Source organism: Homo sapiens, chromosome 3 (assembly GCF_000001405.40).
Source record: "Homo sapiens chromosome 3, GRCh38.p14 Primary Assembly".
NCBI classification, from domain to species: Eukaryota; Metazoa; Chordata; class Mammalia; order Primates; family Hominidae; genus Homo; species Homo sapiens.
This window is the reverse complement of record NC_000003.12, coordinates 149367206-149386670: the sequence shown is the minus strand read 5'-3', so window position 1 is coordinate 149386670 and position 19465 is coordinate 149367206. Positions and strand designations below refer to the sequence as shown.

The 19465-nt window shown below is 42.7% G+C and overlaps 1 protein-coding gene and 1 long non-coding RNA gene across 6 annotated transcripts; one reads left to right on the top strand and one right to left on the bottom strand.

The window, feature by feature from the left end:
* TM4SF1-AS1 (TM4SF1 antisense RNA 1) lies at positions 88-8893 on the bottom strand. Of its 3 annotated transcripts, NR_109809.1 has the most exons (3): positions 8356-8893; positions 1502-1678; positions 88-303 (listed from the first exon to the last, which is right to left on the bottom strand). It is a non-coding gene; the product is annotated as a TM4SF1 antisense RNA 1 (long non-coding RNA). The 3 variants fall into 3 exon arrangements; NR_046650.1 differs by lacking the exon at positions 1502-1678; NR_109810.1 differs by lacking the exon at positions 1502-1678 and having other exon boundaries at positions 88-299.
* A 128-nt stretch (positions 8894-9021) lies between these two features.
* On the top strand, positions 9022-17649 carry TM4SF1 (transmembrane 4 L six family member 1). 3 transcript variants are annotated; one of them, NM_014220.3, is made up of 5 exons: positions 9022-9300; positions 10902-10991; positions 11083-11228; positions 14804-14984; positions 16791-17649. In NM_014220.3, the coding sequence occupies exons 1-5, from the start codon at positions 9124-9126 to the stop codon at positions 16803-16805; spliced, it is 609 nt and encodes a 202-aa protein (NP_055035.1). In that variant the 5' UTR covers positions 9022-9123; the 3' UTR covers positions 16806-17649. The 3 variants fall into 3 exon arrangements, with proteins under 3 accessions (NP_055035.1, XP_016861874.1, NP_001397766.1); XM_017006385.3 differs by having other exon boundaries at positions 14804-15004; NM_001410837.1 differs by lacking the exons at positions 11083-11228; positions 16791-17649 and having other exon boundaries at positions 14804-15069.
* Positions 17650-19465: the final 1816 nt, after the last annotated feature.

The window sequence follows — 19465 nt, the reverse complement described above, 5'->3', positions numbered from 1 at the left end:
ACTTGGAGAATGCTCACACTGCCTCTTATTTATGCTTCTGTCCAAGTCTTTGAGAGTGCTGAAGTCATAGAAATGACCAAACAAATATATAGTACGACACTTTTTAATTCAGAACTCAACCACAAAAAAAATGCTCCTCTGTCACCAGGGATCCCTGGAAAATGGTGTCTAAAAATCAGCTCTGAGCAAACCATCCTCAGTTCTTGTCCTTGTGGCATCTTCAACTCCCAACTGATGGAAATCTCACTGGTCTGAACTTCAAATGGTATGAAAGCAGGAGTGGAGAGTTTCACCCCAACCTTTCTGCAAAAAAGCAAGCATATTTTATATAAGGTCAAAAGGCCATGTGAGGCAGGAGAATAGAGACTGGAGGCAGGGAACCTAAGGCTTTTCACACTGACTTCCTAGAACTAAATTGAAAGGAAAACCCTAACTTTCCATGCCTCAGTAACAGAAGGACCAGAGGCTACTCCCTTTGACCTTTTCTGCGTGGCAGTTGGGAAGTTGTCTGTAAGCGACAAATCAGACTTATTGCTGGTAGAGACTTTGTTTGCAATTTAGTAACTTCACTCCAGACTCTGAATGGTCTGACTGTGGCTCTGATCAGACTGATTGTGGACGGAGTCTTCAGTTTGCATAGAAGTATAACTTTGTAACTTCACCCTACCCTCTGATTGGTTGCTTTTTGCAACCAATCAGATGTTTGCACAGGAGTGTGACCTTTGTAACTTCACTTCATCCTCTGGTTGGCTGCTTTCTGCAAGCAATCAGACTGATTGCGGGCTACCACTTCATTTACATGAGGTAAGCATGAAGTGGCCAATGAGAAACTTCCAGGGGTATTTGGACCCAAGAAGATTCTGTATTTGGGCCCTTGAGCTGGTGCTCGGGCCCACTTCCACACTGTGGAGTGTACTTTCATTTTCAATAAATCCCTGCTTTTGTTCTTTTGTTGCTCCATTCTTTGCTTTGCTGGGCGTTTTGTCCAATTCTTTGTTCAAAACGCCAAGAACCTGGACAACTTGCAATCATGACCAGTGACACAGGTAGGGAAATCCTTTTACAAGTTAGACCAGGGTAAAGGAAATGAAAATAGGCCCTATTATTTCTCTCCTCTACTGAATCTAGACAATTCTTTTAAAAACTTTTCATTGCACACATCTCTTGTTTGTTGATAGTTCTATTTTGCTACAGTAAAACCAAGTTTGTAGAACAGGAGCTGTAGCTTTAATTTTGAGACATCAGGTTAACCTTGAAATCATTCATCGAATTAAAGTAGAATCCAAGTGATTAATGTCTCAAAATTGTGTTATTTAGAAGTGCCAAAGAAACAGTCCCCGAATCTGATCAACATTGTAGTAAAATCAGCCCAGTGTGTGAAGGAAAGAGCATGGGTATGTGAGTCAGGGAGACTTGCGTAGGAGGAATCCAGGCCTAATTACTCGCCAGCCTTGTGACTTTGGCCTGCATGCTTAACCCAGATGAGCTTCAGTTTCCTCACCTGTAAACAGCTTTGCACAACGGAGCTGTAAAGTTAAATGACGGCATCAGAGTGACTTGCATGTGCCCACTCTCCTTCTGCTCCACGCTCCTCTTCCCCTGAATGCACAGAAACTGGATACGTATTACCCAGGAACCCTGAACAGTTTTTGTCATTCTCCCCAAAGGCAGCTGTGATCTGTGGAAGGAGGCCAGCAGGAGAGAACTTGCTACTTTTCCCAGGGAGGACCTGGTCTCCCATCAGACAGAGAGAGGAGCTGCAAGTGGCCTGCTACTTCTCCTGCCTCACAAAGAGAACCACTTGGTGAACCGGGTTCAAAAGGTGCAAACACATGAATTCATCAGTTTAAAGTTTTTAGGGTTTTTTTTTTTTATTTTAATCAATGGTTTTTCTTCTCAACTGAAATGAACCTTGCTGGACTTGCGTAGCCTCATGTATAAAACTAGAAAGTTGGGCCACCTACATCAGTGGACTTCAACTCTGCTTGGGCACTGGAGTCATTTGGAGGACTTACTTAAAATGCAGATTCCTGGCCTCACCCACAGACATTCTGTTTCCCTTGGGCTGAATCAGGGTGTGTCGTTTTAGAAAACCATAGACCGTTTTCTGTTGAAAATCAAATGGTCTTTGAAGCCCTCCACATCTCACATGCCAGGCTCTAATTATTCAACCCAAGGAAATGATACTCAAATCAGAACATGAGAGTCCTTTCCCCTTCAAGTATTTATGCACTAGTTGCCCTAGGTGCCCTGGATGCCTTCAGCTCACCCATTCAAGAGGAAGTCACACCAGCCCTTCTGGGTAGCTAGCCCTCAGGAAGGGAGACCCAGAGCCACATCTTGAGCTTCAGACCACAGGGCAGGCACCCCAGGAGGTGTCTTGTCTGAAAATGGTAACTGAGACCTGGGAGAGTTCTTGGCTTAATGAGCCATCAGCTGAGCAATGTTGAACTAAAATTACCAGATAAAGATGGGGAATTGGTGATTAATTCTGGTTTAATTGGGCCAACAGAGCTTATTTTTTAGCCCAAGAATAACTTGAGCTACAACCTAAAGTGAAGGGAAAGCCAGGAAGCTGTGTGTAAGGTGGTTTTACACTACTCCCTGCCTCTGCATCTCTTTACTGTGGTTGTCTGCCTTGATTATGGTTCCAAATAAAGGACAGAAACTGGCTTCCCTGCCTGGTCCCACACTCACCTTTTCCTGAGAATGACTTCTCCTGCATGTACCTGGTTGCAGGGATGGCTCCCAGCAGCCATGTTTATGCAGGCCCCACAGGCATGGGCACCTGACCCCACAGGCATGGGCACCTGGCCTGGTCTTGTCCAATGCATGTCCCTTCTCTCACAATCTGGACTTGGGATGAATCTCTTGAACTGAAAAAACTATAAACTTCAGAACTGTCAGTAGCCATATTTTTTGTGTGTGAACTGAGAACCAGAGACAATGAGACTGCACTAAGAAGAATAAAGTATATGGATAGAAAGAGTCAAAAATGCAAAATGTGGAGTATGACATTCCGAATTTCCAGACCTTTGTTCCCCTGTCCGTGAGTTCCATCATCCTATCTGCATCTCCACCTTTGAAGTTTATAATTAATGCCCCTTTGTTTTAGGTAACTCAACTGGCTTCTGTTACTATAATCAGAATGCTCTAATGAGCATTGTTACTATATAGGAATCATTACATTTGTCATGTTCAAATGAGTAAGAAACTACAAGGAAGGAGAAATGCATGTGGAAAAACACAACTGGGGTGCAGGAGATCTGAGTTCAAATCTTCCTTCTAGAATCTCACAACCACATAGAATCATAGACTGTTTATGTTAATTCTTAAAGGTAACCCAGTTCCACTGCCAACTAGCTAGATGACCTTGGGAAGAGTTTTTAACCCCTGTGGGATTAACTATAAAATGGCCATAATGATTCCATTCACTCTATGAGGCTTCTTTCAGCATGAAAATCTATGCTTATATAGCACTTGATATAAGCAAAAGGAGTTTCCCCTGGAATTATTCTTGAAGCCACATTCTGTGCATGAAAAGGTTGAAAGAGCTAACCCTAAGAAGCATATACCAGCTGCTTATGTTAATGATAGGTAAAATTGAACATTTTCTAATTTAAATATAGTAAATGTCAATTTTCCCTAACTTTTCATAAGATGTTTTGACTTTGCTTAAACACTAATCTTAGAACTGAACATATTCAACTTCCCTCTTCATCCAAAAAAAATTTGGCGAATATTGAGAGCCAACTAAATGCCTGACACTATGCTAGCTGCTGTGCCCTCAAAGAAGAAAATAGAAGGTCCCTGCTCTCTGAGACTTCAGTGAAGGTGGGGAAGCTAAGGAGGATACACACTCATGCCTCGTGGTCGGATCGGAGCTGCCATGCAGGTGTGGTGTGTGTAAGAACAAAGCGGGAGTCATGAGCAGGCTGAGGGTGGGGTGGTGGGGGAAGCAGGCAGGGGTGTGACGAAAGGCATCATGGATGAAGTAACAAGTTCAGTCAGGGTAACAAGGCAGGGGTAGGGTAGGCTGGGCAAGAATAGCAGGGCCTTTCTGGCAGTTTTGGCATATCCAAAACATGGGGCTGAGAACCAGCAGCTCATGCTCTGGAACCTGCAGTTCTGTGATGCAGTAAAAACCACCGCTTCCAAGGGTATCATGGATTAAGGGTGATTCCAGAAGGGATGAGGGAGCTAGAAATGAGTTTTACTATAACCGGGGGAAGTCCAGTATTTTAAACTTTATCACGAAAGATAACAAAGGAATCCAACATATATTGGAGTGATAGAATCCCAGAAAAGTAAATATAATGAATCACAGATAGAGACATCTCCTCTGAGAGAGCGGGCTGATAAAAATAGTAAATAATCATAAGTAACTTTTTTTGAGTGACTGCTAAATGCCAGATGCTTCAAGCTTTACGCACATTGACTCATTTCTGCATACCACAACCCTATGAGGCAGATTCTATTATTTGTCTCAGAGAGGTCCTCTCAGTAAGGCCTTCTCCTTCTCCCACCTATTCCCCTTTTCTGCTCTTATCACCATCTAATACCCTCTGTGTTTTACTTACTATTTTTTATTTGCCTCTCTCTTTTTGATAGAGTGGATACTCCTTAAAGGCAGGAATTTTGTTGTTTGCTTTGCTTACTGCTATATCCTCAGCACTTATAACACATAGTAGGAATCAATAGATGTTGGTGAATGAATGAATTATAGAAATAGAGGTACACGGTACACAATGGTTAGTAGCTTGCCCCAAATCGAACAACCAGGCAGTGGTAGGCCCTGGGAGCAATGGTGTGAGTGGCTGGTAGATCTTGGGCTCACAGAGAGGCATAATGAAATTGAGGGTGGGGAGACTGGAGCATCAGCCGGGTTAAAAAGAGGCTTAAAAACTCATAGATTCACTTATTTTAGTCATCCAACTATTCAATACTATTTACTGAGCACCTATTATGCACCAGACATGCTCCAGGTACTGGGGAAACAATGGTGGACAAGGCAGAAGGTGTCTGCGCTCAGTGGGGAGGGGAGGGAAGATGACAACAGAAAAGGAAACAAGCAAATACACAGAATAACTTCAGAGGCTGATAAATTCTGTGATGATAATACAGCAGAGTAATGTGATGGAGCATAACTAGAGATAGGGGGAATATCTTCACTAAATAGGTCTTCAGAAAGGACTTCTTTGACAAAATTATGTATGAGCAGCATCCTGCAGCATGTATGTTTCTTTTTTCTGGGGAGAGGGTTTTTTTTTTTTTTTATTGATCATTCTTGGGTGTTTCTCACAGAGGGGGATTTGGCAGGGTCATAGGACAATAGTGGAGGGAAGGTCAGCAGATAAACAAGTGAACAAAGGTCTCTGGTTTTCCTAGGCAGAGGACCCTGCCCTTCCGTAGTGTTTGTGTCCCTGGGTACTTGAGATTAGGGAGTGGTGACGACTCTTAACCAGCATGCTGCCTTCAAGCATCTGTTTAACAAAGCACATCTTGCACCGCCCTTAATCCATTTAACCCTGAGTGGACACAGCACATGTTTCAGAGAGCACAGGGTTGGGGGTAAGGTCACAGATCAACAGGATCCCAAGGCAGAAGAATTTTTCTTAGTACAGAACAAAATGAAAAGTCTCCCATGTCTACTTCTTTCTACACAGACACGGCAACCATCCGATTTCTCAATCTTTTCCCCACCTTTCCCCCCTTTCTATTCCACAAAGCCGCGATTGTCATCCTGGCCCGTTCTCAATGAGCTGTTGGGCACACCTCCCAGACGGGGTGGTGGCCGGGCAGAGGGGCTCCTCACTTCCCAGTAAGGGCGGCCGGGCAGAGACGCCCCTCACCTCCCGGACGGGGCGGCTGGCCGGGCGGGGGGCTGACCCCCCCACCTCCCTCCCGGACAGGGTGGCTGGCCGGGCAGAGGGGCTCCTCACTTCCCAGTAGGGGCGGCCGGGCAGAGGCGCCCCTCACCTCCCGGACAAGGCGGCTGGCCGGGCGGGGGGCTGACTCCCCCACCTCCCTCCCGGACGGGGCGGCTGGCCGGGCAGAGGGGCTCCTCACTTCCCAGTAGGGGCGGCCGGGCAGAGGCGCCCCTCACCTCCCGGACAAGGCGGCTGGCCGGGCGGGGGGCTGACCCCCACACCTCCCTCCCGGACGGGGCGGCTGGCCGGGCAGAGGGGCTCCTCACTTCCCAGTAGGGGCGGCCGGGCAGAGGCGCCCCTCACCTCCCGGACAAGGCGGCTGGCCGGGCGGGGGGCTGACTCCCCCACCTCCCTCCCGGACGGGGCGGCTGGTCGGGCGGGGGGCTGACCCCCAAACCTCCCTCCCAGACGGGGCGGCTGGCCGGGCAGAGGGCCCCTCACTTCCCAGTAGGGCGGCCGGGAGAGCCCCCTCACTCCCGGCAGGGCGCTGCGGGGCGGGGGGCTGCTCCCCCACCTCCCTCCGCACGGGGCGGCTGGTCGGGCGGGGGGCTGTCCCCCCACCTCCCTCCGAGACGGGGCGGCTGGCCGGGCGGGGGGCTGACCCCCCACCTCCCTCCTGGACGGGGTGGCTGGCCGGGCAGAGGGGCTCCTCACTTCCCAGTATAAAGGAAAGAAGTTTAATTGACTCACAGTTCTGCATGGTTGGGGAAGCCTTGGGAAACTTTCCATTATAGAGGAAGGTGAAGGAGAAGCAAGACACCTTCTTTTTGTTTTGTTCTTTTTTTGAAACTGAGTCTCGCTCTGTCACCCAGGCTGGAGTGTAGTGGTGCTATCTCGGCTCACTGCAAACTCCGCCTGCCGGGTTCACACCATTCTCCTGCCTCAGCCTCCCCAGTAGCTGGGATTACAGGTGCTCGCCACCACGCCCAGCTAATTTTTGCATTTTTAGTAGAGACAGGGTTTCACCATGTTGGCCAGGATGGTCTCGATCTCCTGACCTTGTGATCCACCCGCCTCGGCCTCCCAAAGTGCTGGGATTACAGGCGTGAGCCACTGCGCCTGGCCGCAAGACACCTTCTTTACAAGGCAACAGGAAAGACAATCATCAAGAGAAGGGGGAAGAGCTCCGTATAAAACTGTCAGATCTCATGAGAACTCACTCACTATCACAAGAACAGCATGGGGGAAACTGCTGCCATGATTCAGTTCCCTCCCCCCAGTCTCTCACTTGACACGTGAGGATTATGGGGATTACAATTCAAGATGAGATTTGGGTGGGGACACAAAGCCTAACCATATCAGTAGTTTAAGCATCACTTTCCCCCATTTTGGCCCCAGGTGGGATAGATCAGCAGACAGGAGGGTTGCAATGATTATGCTTCAACAAAGGATGCCGTCATTCACCCATAGGCTCTGTCACCAGTGGAATCCTGTCTCTAAGCCATCGGGCCAAACACACGTTCCCTGTTGTTGGACACATAGTGGTGACCCAATGACACTCTTATGAGGATTTGCCTGCCTCCGCCTGAGCAGGTGGGTGGTTCCACGCTTCCCAACTCCACTGATTTATTTCCTCAGGCCATCCTGGATTCTGGCTTCACCCCTGTTAGTGTGCTGAGGCCACACTTCTTGGGCCCTCCTCCGGTCCCATGCCACATCACTAACCACAGCTGGTCTCCTCAAATTTGGTATGTGTCCCGCCCTCTAGTTCCGGGCCAAATCCTTCAGACTCTAGATTCGTGAACCTCATTCACCTTCTTCTTCTAAGCTAATGCCTCCCTACCTTGGTCCTTTTCTATTTTCTGTACTCTCTATCTTGTCCTGGTGACAAGGCCCTCCAGGCCTGGCCCCACCCGGCCACCCTGTCCACCTCCCACCACCATCCACTGGCTGGTGCAATCTGCTGTTCAAGGCATAAATTTATTCAGTGCCCAGCCCCTCCTTCTGCAAGGTAACCACCTAGAAAGTTAGTCTAACACCCTTTCTCTGCCCTGTGTGGGGAGCCTGTGGAAGCTGGTCTCAGGATCTGGCTGGGTAAACCATCTGTTTACCTCTGTGTGGGTTCTGACACTCCTAGCCAGTTCTGTTTCTCTGAACCTTGTTTCTCCACTCTGCTTGCCAAGTCCCTTTGTCTTATTTTTTTCTCCCTCTCCCTCCTTCCTTCCCTCCCCCCATCCTTCCTTCCTTTTTTCCTTCCTTCCTTCCTCCCTCCCTCCCTTCCTCCCTTTTTCCCTCTCTCCTTCTCTCCCTCCTTCTCTTCTTTCCTTCCTCTCTTCCTTCCTCCTTTCCTCTTTCCTTCTCTCCCATTCTCTTCCTCCCCCTCTCTTCTTCCTCTTTTTATTTTTGTCCCATGCTTTAGGCCTTCCTTGGCCCTTCCTGGCATTGCTTTTCCTGACAGCAACACTCAATAATTTTTAAAAAGCACCTGAGCCCTTTGTGTTGACTGATGCCACCTCTGTTGTGGTGCAGATTTGTTTTAGAGGCAGATGTCCAGGGACGCTGAACACTGAAATCCATCCTGCAGAGCTTGCTGTAGGCAGAGTAAAGAAGTTTGCTCTGTAGTTTTCCCAACAGCCTTCTCAAATCCATGGGAGACGTCTCAGACACCTTGTATTTAATAGACAAGGAAATGAGCTCAGGAGATTTGCCCCAGGTTGTAAATTAAATCAGCACAAAGGTAGAAATGAACACAGAGCTCTCAGATTGGAAGCTGTCCAGACAGCTGCATGGAGCAGGGGCACAGCTCACTGTCTTTCAAAGCCTCAACCAGGGCTGTTGCATCTCGGACACTTGGCAGTTACTGGAAAGTCATGTTAGGCTTTCCTGTTGATTCTTTATCTTGTGGAGGAGTTGCACAGTCAATGCCTTGTTCAAGATTAATCATTTTCCCTGTTGCCTATGACTGAGGCTGTTTCTCACATCCTGCCCCTGGTTTTGCCTGTCCCAAGGATTTCGTCTGAAGGGCGGGACATTCCCCCTGCCTCTTCGCACCACAGCCAGAGCCTGCCATTAGGACCAATGAAAGCAAAGTACCTCATCCCCTCAGTGACTAAGAATCGCAGTATTTAAGAGGTAGCAGGAATGGGCTGAGAGTGGTGTTTGCTTTCTCCACCAGAAGGGCACACTTTCATCTAATTTGGGGTATCACTGAGCTGAAGACAAAGAGAAGGGGGAGAAAACCTAGCAGACCACCATGTGCTATGGGAAGTGTGCACGATGCATCGGACATTCTCTGGTGGGGCTCGCCCTCCTGTGCATCGCGGCTAATATTTTGCTTTACTTTCCCAATGGGGAAACAAAGTATGCCTCCGAAAACCACCTCAGCCGCTTCGTGTGGTTCTTTTCTGGCATCGTAGGAGGTGGCCTGCTGGTAAGTCATTCAGGATTATTACTGAATTCTCTCCTGTTTCCTAGATGTTTTCATTATGTATTTTCATGGAAAGTTTTTTGTAATGCATATTTCTAAATCAAGTGACTTTTTTGTTGCTGTTCATTCCTTTGAAAGCAGATTATACAAAAGCGAGATTGGTACAGTATAGCGTAGTAATTTTATGAGATGTTGTTTTACAAAATGCTCTTTCAACTAAAAGTGAACTGCCTTTTTGCTAAACTCTATAGGTAGGAAACAGATATTCGCTTTTAAATCAGATTTGAGAGACTATAGAGTTTCTACTAGAACGGGCAGTCATTTAACATTTGCTCTGGGGAGCCGGAAGGGGTTGGCTGGTTCTCTGCCTAAATCAACAGTTTTGAATCCAAATTCTCTGCTGTTTATTTTCAGCCATCTGTGATAGGGAAAAATAATGAATTGTGAGTGCATTGCTATTTTAAAAGAACTCTAAGCTTTCTCCTTTATGTAAGGCTGGGGTGTGGCGTCTAGGAAAAACCCTACAGTTAGCAGCAGGTCGGTGTCTGAAGCTAATAGTGGAATGTGTTATTTTTTCCAAGAATTGTTTTTGATTGAAGTGAGAGGAATTTCCCTGCCAACCTGGGAGCTGAAAGCATTAGCTTCAACCACAGCATGGAAAGAATGTGAGCAAACTTAAGTTTGCTACTTTAAAGTGCTGGGATTAAAAATTTTAAGGAGAAATTTTATGGAATGGTACCATACGTGATAAATTTTCTTAATCAAGTAAAAGATAGTAAAACATTTAAACCTAATACACTGATTATGGCATGGCAAATCTGCCCTAAATTATTTATTTAATGAGATTTTATTTAATTTTATTTTATTTAATGAGACGGGGTTTCGCCATGTTGCCCAGGCTGGTCTTGAACTCATGGGCCCAAGTGACCCTCCTACCTTGGCCTCCCAAAGTGCTGGGATTACAGGCATGAGCCACAGTGCCCGTCTGCCTCAAATTTAAGCATTATTATCATGTTAACATGATTATTTGTCTTAAACATAACATCACACTTAAGTTTCTTTCGATCTTGAACCTGAAGTATTTCATATTTACTATATTTTAAGAGCTTAATATTGTTAAGTTAAAACTATGCATTTGTATAATCAAGGAAGCAGTTAATATTTATTATATATAGCTTTCATGTCTCCCATTTACAAAAAAGTTTCAGTTATTCTATTAAAGATTTGTTGGTATATTCTGCATTTTACAAGTGGAAAAAATCAGATTTAAAGAAAGGGTTTAATATTTCCAAAACAGAGTTTGTTATCTGGGGTCGTGTGATAAACTCTTGTGGAATAAACACGTTTACAGTTTATTATTTTACTCCTCCCATGTTACATCCTCACCCTAAAAAATGCTTTGACAGATTACATGAAAACAAGCAGATATGACATTTAAATGGTCTTTTTCTCCTCAGAGGTTTACATTCTTTGAGATATCTGGTCAACCTAATCAAAGCCAGTTAATGTCATTGGAAATAAATATATTTTACCAAGAGATGCCTAACCTGACCCATATGAGCCTGAGCAAGACAATGACCTGACTTTGTTTGTTTCCTAACCAGATGCTCCTGCCAGCATTTGTCTTCATTGGGCTGGAACAGGATGACTGCTGTGGCTGCTGTGGCCATGAAAACTGTGGCAAACGATGTGCGGTAGGTCCTCCTGCCCTGGTGGTGAAAATGACTCCTAAGATGTAGCTGTGGCACTCTGTGGCTCACTTCCTGTGTGTCTGCTTTTCCCTAGATGCTTTCTTCTGTATTGGCTGCTCTCATTGGAATTGCAGGATCTGGCTACTGTGTCATTGTGGCAGCCCTTGGCTTAGCAGAAGGACCACTATGTCTTGATTCCCTCGGCCAGTGGAACTACACCTTTGCCAGCACTGAGGGCCAGTATGTAATTACTCTCTACATGGCTACACATTTTTATCCACCACATGTATATAGTGGCAGCTCTATCAAACCAGATAGGCATCCACTTATCCATCCATCCACCCACCTAGCCAGTGTTTATTCTCACTGACTCAGGCATGGTTTAGGCAATAGGTATCCAAGGATGGATCCCCAGTCCCCGACCTAAACAAATTCTAAATGCTTCTTTTCTTTTCTTTCTTTCTTTTTTTTTCCCCCAGAGACAGGGTCTTGATCTGTCACCCAGGCTAGAATGCAGTGGCACAATCATAGCTTACTGCAGCCTCTAACTCCTGAGCTCAAGCAATACCCCTTCCTCAGCTTCCCAAATACAGAGTGCTTTTGAATAGATTCAATAATTCAGTCCTTATAATAACCCTATGAAGTGACTTCCTATTTTAAAGATGAGGAAACAAAATCACAGAGAGATGGAGTAATTCATCCAAGGTCACGTTGCCAGAAAGTGGCAGTTAGCATTTGAACCCAGGCAGTCTAGATGTAGAGTTTGTGTTCATATAGTGCATCTCAATTACTTCATACATTATACCAGAACAATTGCCTGATTAAGTGTAATACATTTTACTACTTTATAAGAAAGTATTATAGAATCCATATATAATAAGAATGGCAACTATATGAATTTAACCCAAGCCCAGGGCAAACCATGCCCTTACCCCTGTGTATACATGCACTCATATAAAACATACACATACATACACTCATATAAAACATACAAACTATGTACAATGCCCCCTTTTTTAGTTATTAAGCTATATAAGTAAGGCCTATTCACAATCATAATATCAGGATAATTTGTGCTGTTCTACCATTCTATGTTGATACTTATTTTTTTTATCAGTTATCCAGAAAAGAACAGAAACAGCACAGCTGATAGAAACGGATGTATGTGGTGATGAATGGATGACATGTTTCTTTGAGCAGGAGTTGATTCTGAGTTTCCCTTTTCCCTACTCAACTTTCTGAAGTTGAATTTTGAAAGGTTTAGTTTTGAGATTCATGATTAAAAATAATATTAATAACAAATTATATTATCAAGAATGTTTGACCCCATGAATTTAAAGCATGTAGTGAGGATATATGAATCTCACAAATTTAGCACAGTTATGAGATCATGAATTTGAATTAGCTGGGTTCAATCACAGCTCTGCACCTATCTGTAGGAAAAGGTGAAATGAGCTCTCTGCATCTCAGTTACTCCACTGGTAAAATAAAATCAATGGCAATTGTCATGAGAATTAATGAAATAATATGTAAAATGTTCCCCACAGAGGCTGCCACATTGTGTGCAACTGCCACTGTTAGCTGTTAATATTAGCTACTACCTTACAATAAACATAACCCAATGGTAGCCTTTGAAGGAAAATTGATACTTACAGAAGTTTGAAATTTTGGTGTTCAAAACTGTGATCAATCATGACTCAGCTTTTATCAGAACATACTGGATGTACTAGTAGAAAATGGCTATTCACATATGTACAAACATACAAAACTATTGCACAAACAGACTTCTAAGAAAAGTCATGACTTATGCAACCAGAATGCAGGGAGAGGTGGTAGTATTGCTAAATGGTTTTTATAGCTATTTGACTGTTTGCCCCTCCCATTATCCACTCTGGATTCTACAAGAAACCTTCCTCCTCTTCTATGTCATTCTTCATTTAAAACTGTCCAAGGATTTCAATATGGGAAATAACTAACAGTCACAAGCCACAGGTTAGTTGCCTGGGAGCCAGGTGGAGCCAAAAATTTTTTTTTACATTGAGACCTGAAAATATAGATTTTTGTTCTGCTGACATGCAGAAAGACAGGGCCACAAAAACAGAACTTTTTTTGAAATGAACAACTATAATCTCTGATTGGCTCAATGAACTATTCTAAAGTTAGGTCTCAAATTCCAAGCCCCTTTGTTCTGTTGTGGAAGGAAGTCGTGATAAGAAAAGAATTATACCAGGCCTCTTTGTGGAATTAAGTCAAACCTTGATTTTCCCACATGATTGTATTATATTTTGTTAAGAATCCAAATACTCTGTAGCAAAGGCTGAAATTCTAGGAGAGCTATCAGAAGTAGAATTTTTCAGACTGGAAGAATATCCAGGTATTTATAAAATCGACTAAATCCTAGAATCTATAGTCAGATATCACCTCAGTATGGTTTGCTGACATTTCACAAAGCAACTTCATATTGTTATTTATCATTCAACTGCTTTTAAAATGTGCTGAGTGGCTATTGTGTGTCAGATACTGTTCTAGCGGCTGGATATACAATGATGAATAGGTCTGGCTCCTACCTTCATGGAGCTCAGCCTTATTGAATAGATACATAAGCAGCTGTTCTCCCTGGACTAGGTTAGATGCCCTTCCTCTGTGGCTCTTCCATATTTTGTTTACCGATCAGCATATCTGTTGCATTGAGATTACTTGTGACTTGTCTCTTCCTTTAGAAGCTATGCTCTTTCAGGACAGAGCCCGTGCCCTGTGCTCCATTATATCCCCAGCTCTGGCTCAGTGTCAGACTCACACTGACTGCTCAATAATCTTTGTTGAATGAGCAAATGCAGTGTGCTACATGCTATTATCAACTCTTGGGCACAGCATCATGAAAGTGAAGAGCTATCAGCCGGGCGTGGTGGTTCACGCCTGTAATCCCAGCACTTTGGGAGGCTGAGGCAGGAGAATGGCTTGAACCTGGGACGTAGAGGTTGCAATGAGCCAAGATTGCGCCATTGCACTCCAGCCTGGGCAACAGAGTCAGACTCCGTCTCAGAAAAAAGTAAAGAGCTATCAAATTAGTTGGGTTTAATCCCATGAATTTGCTTCCTGTTGCAAATTAATTTATTCCTTAAAAACAAAAAATAGCTTTGTTCCAAAGGTCTCAGTTGAAAAATTCCAGCATATTAAATATCCAAACTTGCCAGAATTTGGATAATTTTCAGCAGTAACAAATTGAGATGTAATAAAATGATCTAAATTAATATTTTAAAGTTCAAAAAAAAAACTAGCCTAAAGAGATTGTATTTTCTAAATATTCACTCAATATTGAATACAAATACCCATCTTTTATACCAATAACAACAATAAAATTGGAAAACAGTTTTAAAAAACACCTACACATACTCTACTTTAGCACATGAATTATTTTCATTTTTCCGCATTTGCTCGTAGTTTACTTCCTACACATACATGAATCTTACCTAGCTTTAAACACAGCACAAATACAGTTCTGCATTTTTATTTTTGTTTATAAGAATTCAGATGCCTGTTAGGGAATATAAATATCATTATAAGGTGAGAATTTCTGACCATGTAATCCTAGATTGGGGTCAAAAATTATAAATTATAATTTTATGTTTATCATTACAGTAGGATCTGGGCTAAATTCCTCCATTTTGTGGAATGACATGCAGTGGAAGAAACTTACACAGGATATTGAATAATTCATTCCTTTTTTCTGAATGAAAAACCACCAAACAAAAGTAGTTTATGAAGTATCCCCTCAAGTATGACCGTGTGTCAGAAGTTTCTCTTTTTACCCACAGGTACCTTCTGGATACCTCCACATGGTCCGAGTGCACTGAACCCAAGCACATTGTGGAATGGAATGTATCTCTGTTTTCTATCCTCTTGGCTCTTGGTGGAATTGAATTCATCTTGTGTCTTATTCAAGTAATAAATGGAGTGCTTGGAGGCATATGTGGCTTTTGCTGCTCTCACCAACAGGTAAGAACCTGCATGAAAATGTCGTAGTCTGGCCCTGGTGTTAATATACCATTGTTTTCATCATAAAGAAAAAGGCAAAACCAAACATGCTCGACCTACCAGCATTTATTCTGATATCATCTTTGTAGCAACACAATTATAGCATTCACTTTAGCTGTCAGTAACAAGCTTCCTCGAGTCTCACAGTCACAGGATTGTCTTAGTTCTTTGCAGTTGGCTCTATGTACACAAGAACATGCTGCCCATAGACACAGCGCTCCCTTCAGGATCTAATTCACTGCCTCTGCTCTCGCTGCAGAGACAGAAAAAAAAGTGATGTCTGCTCTTTGTTTGCTGTTATATTCCCAACTAGTATACATAAGTAATAGCCAACCATTCAATGCATCAGGCACTATGCTAAACCCATATGACTCAAATATTAAGCAATAGGCTTAAGATCACCTACTCAGGAAATAACAGGCTTCAAACCTTGAGTCGCTCTGTGCAAAAGCTCCTACTTTTAACCTGTATTCCACACTTGCTGTTTGGTTGGATTTTCTGCAATTCCTTCCTAATAAGGAGTCATAAAAATGCCTAAGCAGTAAGTATGGAGAATCACTAGCAATCTTTGAACAGCAGCTCATGAAAAGCCTTTCGTTGTGAAAGAAAACCAGGAAGCACTTGTTTCCTGGGGATATGATTTAGGAGAAAAAAATGCATTTGTTTGTAGCAGTGAAAGTTCTTGTTTCTATATCCTCCTAAAATATATATATTATTGAATTAATGAAAGTCCAGCTTTGATCCTATCTTTGAGAGGGTTATTTTATGTCTTATATTTTTCAAACCATTTACTCCTCTGGTGCCAGATCTGTTAACTTTCTTTTAAAAATAAGACAAAAACCTAATGAAAACTGAAAGCCCATTGCTACCATGAAAAACTTTGCTGAAAATAAAAGGAAACTTTCTGTAATTTTGGGGGAAGGTTAAAATGAAAATCTAGTTTTCCTTATCAGGCAAGTATAGCAAGATTAATAATTTCTTTGGCAAATTTCCAAGAAAATAAGGGAATGGGAAACCTTCAATATGGAGCTTCTTTCAAGCAGTACGGTTGGGGAAGGGCAGAGAAGTATCCTCTAGGGATTGCTGTCATGCAGCTTACCTTTAGCCTTGAATTTCATACAAGGCAGAGTTCAAAGTAAGTGATTACTTGTACTAAATGTACTCACTTAGTACGTTTTGGGGACAGGCATAAAGAGCCAATGACCAAAATGGCTGAAGTGATTTGGCAGGGAATGATACTCTCCTCTGATTTGGGGTAGTAAATACACCAGGTTTCCCAGCTGAGTCACTGTAGGGATGGCTTCTTCCCAGATACTACAGGGAAGATCTGTTACCTTTGTTTATAAGACAAAAGACACTTTCAAAGGGCAGGTCTTTTCATGTAGAAGAGTCAGGTCCATAACTCGGTAGCATTTAATTTGAAAGGTTACCCACATTGAGCTCATACCAGTGTGAAACTTCCATGGCATTATCTTTTAAATCCCTAAGATTAAAACCCCACACAAATGCACTCAAAGCAACCCAATATCAGTATCCTGCAGTTTCTATGGGCCCTTTCTGCAGCCTTTACTCATGGAAGACAAGGGATCTGGGTTTGTTTAGGAAACATTTTGTGAGCATTGTCCAAGCCCTAAGTATGGTTGGCCTAAGCTTTGCTGAAGCTAAGATCAGTCTGTTTATGTTTGCTTAAAATAGGAACTTAAAGGACTAAAATGTCATCATTATTTATCCTGATTATAGCCTAATGGTATTTTATTTTCTCTACAGCAATATGACTGCTAAAAGAACCAACCCAGGACAGAGCCACAATCTTCCTCTATTTCATTGTAATTTATATATTTCACTTGTATTCATTTGTAAAACTTTGTATTAGTGTAACATACTCCCCACAGTCTACTTTTACAAACGCCTGTAAAGACTGGCATCTTCACAGGATGTCAGTGTTTAAATTTAGTAAACTTCTTTTTTGTTTGTTTATTTGTTTTTGTTTTTTTTTAAGGAATGAGGAAACAAACCACCCTCTGGGGGTAATTTACAGACTGAGTGACAGTACTCAGTATATCTGAGATAAACTCTATAATGTTTTGGATAAAAATAACATTCCAATCACTATTGTATATATGTGCATGTATTTTTTAAATTAAAGATGTCTAGTTGCTTTTTATAAGACCAAGAAGGAGAAAATCCGACAACCTGGAAAGATTTTTGTTTTCACTGCTTGTATGATGTTTCCCATTCATACACCTATAAATCTCTAACAAGAGGCCCTTTGAACTGCCTTGTGTTCTGTGAGAAACAAATATTTACTTAGAGTGGAAGGACTGATTGAGAATGTTCCAATCCAAATGAATGCATCACAACTTACAATGCTGCTCATTGTTGTGAGTACTATGAGATTCAAATTTTTCTAACATATGGAAAGCCTTTTGTCCTCCAAAGATGAGTACTAGGGATCATGTGTTTAAAAAAAGAAAGGCTACGATGACTGGGCAAGAAGAAAGATGGGAAACTGAATAAAGCAGTTGATCAGCATCATTGGAACATGGGGACGAGTGACGGCAGGAGGACCACGAGGAAATACCCTCAAAACTAACTTGTTTACAACAAAATAAAGTATTCACTACCATGTTGTTGTTGTTTAGTTTCATTATCCTTAAAAGTTCTCTTTTTTCTCCCCCCCCCCCTTTTTTTTTTCCAGTTTGCAAGTTATGTGGCCCCTATTGCTAACGGCTTCCTGTCTTTTTGTTTCTTTATCCTACTCTCTCATCCTCTTTCTCCTCTTCTTTCTCTGCTGTCTGTAAATTGCCATTGCTGTACCTGTGGGATCATCACCCCAGTTAGGCACTGGTCCTTTCTACCAGGTGCTGCAAGTATCAGCCTCCCTGGAAGGGTAACAGGCATTTTTCTCCTTACTGTACAGGGTTAGGCTCTTTCAAGTGACAGGATTCCTGGACTTATTGGGAATTTTCTATAGAAATGTTCCGTTTTTGGTGTTCATTGGTCTGGACAACAGATAAGCAAATTTATAAAGAAGCATAACCAGCTATTAGACAGCAGAGCTCCTCCTATGGGCAAGCTGCCCTGCAGTGGGCGGCTCCTGACTGAAGGTTTCAGCCTATTCTGTACCATAGTCCCTCTGGCAGGCTGGTGAAACCTACAGACACCTTCGAAGAATAATGTTCATAAATTCATAAAATGCATAGAATTATGAAGAAAACCAATACACTAGAATATTTTATGAAAATGTTTTTTTAAACATATAGTGTAGTTGTCTTGACAGCCAGCTCTGTCACGTCAACACCTGTGGATAGCAATAACGTGTGTCCTAACAGCCTTCTAAGGAGTCGGTCTAAGAACTATCCTACTTTTTTTTTTTTCACTGAGCAGAGTTAGCCAATATGCTAAGCACATTTATTATTTATTTATTTTTATTTTTATTATTTTTTATTTTCTTTAAGTTCTGGGACGGAACGTGCAGGTTTGTTACATAGGTATACACGTGCCATGGAGGTTTGCTGCACCCATCAACCCATCATCAACCACATGCATTAGGTATTTGCCCTCCCTCCCCTTGCCCCCCAGCCCCCTAACTGTCATACTTTTGAAATACAATTTCAATTAAAATGATATTTCGAGATACCTGCAGCAAATTTAATGTGATATGAAAACATATGCAAATTTTTATTGTAGATCAAAGTATGATCAGTATTACTGATGCTACTTTGGTTTGTTGCATAGTCATAATTAAAGGAAATATTAAATTTTTGTTATAAGTTAGTAAAAAATGACACTTTTTTCCCATCTAAGTTTAACACCCCACTCCCCCAGTTATTTATCCATGGGGTCTTTTGGGAATTCTTGGACACCAGATTAAAAACCCCTGCAATACAGGATCCAAGATAAAAGGCATAATAATCAGTCATAAGCATCATTTTTTCCTAAATCTATCCTCAAAGGACATAGCAATAATAATTATCAACCATTATCATAATAACAGCAACAATTTCTTGAGTCCCTTCAGTATGTCACTTATTGTAATTAGTTTTACACATACTATTCCACTGAAATCTCTCAGCAGCCCTAGAAGGTATTACTTCTCTCTATTTTATAGACTCAAAGCTCAGTGAGGTTAAGTAATCTGTCCAAGGCCACATCTTTAGCAAATGAAAAACACTGTAGCAAAAAAAAAAACAACACTGATTTAACTCCAAGTTGGTGTAACATGAACACGGTGTTTTCCCTGCTCCTCTCCTCTGCCTCATCTACCTGCTCTGCCACCAGGGCCCAGGGGCTAGAGTCTTCCTCCTATCCTACACTGGCACTCAGATACTCCACCCACCTAATGGGGACTTTGACAGGCCCCTGAGAGCCTTAGTCATCCCTATCCTAGAGCCTAAGTTTGAGTGACTCAACATTTCCCCTTGTTTGTGAATCTTTTAATA

Coding starts and splice junctions, on each gene's coding strand:
- TM4SF1 (XM_017006385.3), top strand. CDS start 9,124: ATGTGCTATGGGAAGTGTGCACGATGCATCGGACATTCTCTGGTGGGG. Junction 10,992..11,082: donor ACTGTGGCAAACGATGTGCG/GTAGGTCCTCCT, acceptor GCTTTTCCCTAG/ATGCTTTCTTCTGTATTGGC. Junction 15,005..16,790: donor GTAAGAACCTGCATGAAAAT/GTCGTAGTCTGG, acceptor TTTTCTCTACAG/CAATATGACTGCTAAAAGAA.